We start from the raw sequence: 4744 nt of genomic DNA, 5'->3' as shown, positions 1-4744 counted from the left end.
GTACCCAGTTTGGCTTTTAATTTTACCTATAGTTTTTTTTGAAACAAAAATTTAACATTTTATGTAGTCAAATCATTTATTCTCTATTTTTGCTTTAAGAAGTCATTTCCCAGTCAAAGAGGAGCTAACTAGGTAAAGAACCTCTTTAGCTTTTATATCATTTGATTTTTTCTACTTAACCCTTTAATTCATCTTAAATTTGGTTATAGTATATTGTTAAGTGAGAATATAGTTTAAAAAATAATAACTAGCTATTTTATTAGCTTATCTGTTTGACGATCCTTCTTTCTCCACTAGTTTGTGATGCCAACATTTTCTAATTTGGGGTCTGCTGCTGCACTGTTTTCTGCTCTGTTCATTAGCTTATCTGTTCTCGTGCCCATACTATACAAACTTAATTTTTATTATCTTTTAATCTGTTTAGAATCTGTCTTAAATAAAAAATTTTAACCAAGCCTATGTATTCTTCCCAGTACATTTCACAATCATTTTGTTAAGTTCCTTTTATAATGTAATATTTTTGAATACAATAGCCTTAAATCAGTCTTCTACTTCAGGAGTAGAGTATAGAGTGTATCTTACTTTTTCTTTTCGTCACTTTCAGTAGCATTTTTGTATTTTTCTTCAAATGGTTTCCCAAACTTTCTGGAATGGGTTTACCTTGACTGACCACCCTGAAGTATTAAACCCCAAACCCTCTTTATCTTACTATTTTTAATGCAAATTCCTTCATTTCTTTGATTCTCCCAATCATTTGCATATGCCAATGGGTTCCCTTCTATTTTTGTAAGATATTAGCTAATAATTAAAATCCTTCTAGTTTATACTGTTGTTTCACTGCACTCATCTTTAGTAGAATTTGCTTTTTTATCTTATGAGCCTCAAGTACTAAGGCTCAGAAATAATGTAGGTGTCCACCTTGCTTCCCTTAATTCCTTGCAAAAATAGATACAGTTAGCTGAGACCCTTCCCATCTACCAAAATTTGCCAAGCTACCTGCCTCCCCTTCTTGATCTTGGCTCACTGCAAACTCCGCCTCCCAGGTTCAAGCAATTCTCCTGCCTCAGACTCCTGAGTAGCTGGGATTACAGGTGTGCCACCATGCCTGGCGAATTTTTGTATTTTTAATAGAGATAGGGTTTCACCATGTTGGTCAGGCTGGCCTCGAACTTCTGACCTCGTGATCTGCCCTCCTCGGCCTCCCAAAGTGCTGGGATTACAGGTGTGAGCCCCCGTGCCCGGCCACTTGCCTCCCCTTCCATTGTAGTGAGAGAAGCATTCATGTCCTGAACTCCACCAACCTCTCCACCAGAGCGACAGCAGTCCATTCCTCCATTGTCTACAAGACTCTGCTTCTGCAATTTTACCTTCTCTTTCCTGTATCAGTTTCTCTATCTCAACTGAATTATTCTCATCTGCATACGAACTTCTCCAACATTTCCTTTCTTAAATACTTCCTGGACTCTATGGCCTGCTCTGGGTACAAAACTCTTTCCTGTTATTCTTTTAGCAGAACTCTTGAGATTTTTAATCTAGTCCCTATTTTTTCCTCTCTCCTTAACTTCTCCCAGTCAAACACCTTTTCTCTCCACTCTCTTGAAAGGTTACCAATGATTTCTGTGTTGTCCAATCCAAAGGGCTCCTCTCTGTTCTCTCAGCAGAACGGAATTAACCACTCCTTCCTCTGGAAATACTTCTTTTCTTGGTTCCTGTATCACTAAACCATCCAGGAAAACACATATATATCATGCTTTCTAAATCTAGGCGAAGAGGGATGGAATTTAAGGAGTTTAAGCCCTGGGCTTTCCCCCAAGTGACCACAAGGTGTAGGACTAGAGAACATCAGCCTTACTCCTGTGTGTCTCAAGTCTGCAGTGCCAGGCATGTTGGAGGCAGGTTAGAAAAGCAGATAAGCCACTTTCCTCCCAGAGCTCCTCATATTTGTTGAGAATAAGTAGGTTCTACTAAAACCACCTTAGAAAAATAAACTATCAAACTTTTACTTTTGTCAAATCCTTATTAACCAAATATGGCAAAATGGGTCTTTAAGGTTTTACAGACTGATGAAAATGTTACGAGTATTGGATACAGTCATAGACTTTGTTCCGAATGTCCTTTGAACATTGACCATAATTCAGGTTCAAAATTGTTTGTTGAACCCACATAGTCTTAGACCCTATCATTACATACTGTTTATATTAGATCCTGTTATTGCTGTAATATATCCTAGAAGCAAACTAATTAAGTGCCTTTTGATTTGAGTGAAGTGAGAACAGTTAGAGAGGCTAGGTTCTAATTTGCTTTTAAAGTTAATGGAGTCATGGACTGGGGGGAAGTAAAGGTGTTGAAGGAGAAACTCAGCAGGGAGAGAGAGCAGAAAGACCCCCATCCTCCTCCCAAATTAGGCTACTTCCTTTGTCAGAGAGGAACACTTGTTAATTATGAAATACTCATAAATCTGCCTCAACTTAAGTGCCCAAGAGCCGAGGATAATGGAATGAAAAACAATTTAAATCACATTATATAGCAAGCAACTGAATAATGTATTTTTGTACCGTCTCAGTGCATTTCATTACTTCAAGGCCACAGACTTGCTCCTGCAGCTTCAAATAGCAGAAGGAAACACACTTGGGTTATATTGTTCTTTATGATTCATGGGTTCTCAGCAGTCAACAGAGCATTTGCTGCCAGAGGGTTTTTCCTTTTCAATGCCTGCTACCAATTTATGGGTTGTTTTCTGAAGGGCTTTGAAAGTGTTGAATCTGCTGAAAATATAGTTATCTTGAATGTTATCAGAAATTTTAGAATTTCTATGACTAACAACTCTTTTAAGGAAACCTAAACCATATCTTAAAAAGAAAAAAGTAGTTATGAATTATTTTCAAGGACATACATTGTTATTTTACCTCTTCTGGGTACTATTAAAATCCATGAGAAGGAAAAAAAACCTTTTACTTTGGTATATTTTGTTTTACTTTTATAATATTTGAAAATGGAGTTACAGTAGTCATTAATCAGATGTACAGGCCCCAGTGTAAGAACTCCCACTAGCTGAGAGAAAATGAATGAGTCACTCAGGTCAGAGAAAAGCTATACGTTTGAGTAGAACTATCTCATCCTTACTGATATAACTCTCTGAATGCGATTAATAACAATCAAAGATCCCATCCAATTAAAACTTATTGCACCTAAGAGTCGTGGATATTTATTGCCGGAAACGTCCATAGAGGTCATTTGGTCTAACTTCCTCATTTTTCACAGATGAAGTTACTAAGACACAGAGGGAATTAAAGACTTACCAAAGGTCGTACTGCTAGAACCAGGATCAAATTCAATACTTTTTAACTTCAATTGGAGTGAAATTAAAGAGATATTAATTAGGTTCCATTGCAGGCCACCTTGTAGACTAAATGTCCAGAAGAAAGGAAAATTGCTGTAAAAAGTGTTAAAATATTTTACAATGCGTGGTTGAGCTGGCAGAAAAATACAAATAATAAGAAGGGCACAAATGATAAGAAAGTACAAATTGAAAGTTGCATATAAATGCTGGAGTTGTGTTTGTTCATGGTATTTGCCAATCCCTGGGATCTCCAGTCCTAGAACTTAAGGAGCCACATGCAAAATCTGGAGCCTGAGCTGGGTGGGGTTTGGGGCAACTGACCGCCACATAAAGCAGCAACTGTAAAGATGATAACCTCAGCAATAGGGTGAAGTAGAAAGAGAGTTAATAAATTCACCTTTTGTCAAATTTGGCTCTGAGTGTCGGGTGAACATCCAGATTTGCTCCTGCAGCTTCAAATAGCAGAAGGAAACACACTTGGGTTTTCCCAAAAACACAGGTTTTCCTGGAAGATTCCTTTCAAGAAACTGGCACTCAGTGGGGTTTGGAACAGGAATGCATGCACTTCCACTGTGGTAAATCTTCACCTACAAATTTAGCTCCAAGTGACCATGGCTTGGCAGCATTTCCAAGGATCTGGCAGAAGCAAAGCCACATACTCTCTGAACACCTTCAAATAAGCTTCACGTCAGACCTGCAATTAAAGTTCCAAGAAACCAAACAAAAGCTGAGCCTCACCCTTTTGAGGTTATGCCTCTATGATATGTAAAAAGAAAACACAAGAAAAATATACCTGTGAAGACTTCAGATACTAAAACGATCAGATACTGAATAAATTCTGTGCCTACGAGTCTGAATCTGCTGTCTTTTTTTTAAATAATAGAATGTATTTTTAGAGCAGTTTTAGGTTCACAGCAAAATTGAACAGAAGATACAGAGATTTCCTGTATACTCCTGCACCCACACATGCACAGCCTCCCTCACTATCAACACCCAACTACCACCAGAATGGTGCATTTGTTACAATTGATGAACCTACATCGACGCATCACTATCATCCAGTCTATAGTTTACATTAGGATTCATCCTTGGTGTTGTACATTCTATGGGTTGAAACAAATGTATAACTACATGTGTCCACCATTATAATATCATACAGAGTATCTTCATTGCCCTCAAAGATCCTCTTTATCTCTCCCTCCCCACTAACTCTTGGCAACCACTGATCTTTTTACTGTCTCCATTGTTTTGCCTTTTCCAGAAGGCCATATGGTTGGAATAACACAGTATGTAGCCTTTTCTTATTGGCTTCTTTCACTTAGTGATATGCATTTAGGTTTCCTCAATGTCTTTTCATAGCTTGATAGGTCATTTCTTTTTAGCACTGAATAATATTCCATTGTC

Source organism: Homo sapiens, chromosome 6 (assembly GCF_000001405.40).
Source record: "Homo sapiens chromosome 6, GRCh38.p14 Primary Assembly".
Taxonomy (NCBI): domain Eukaryota; kingdom Metazoa; phylum Chordata; class Mammalia; order Primates; family Hominidae; genus Homo; species Homo sapiens.
This window is presented reverse-complemented; position numbering follows the sequence as displayed.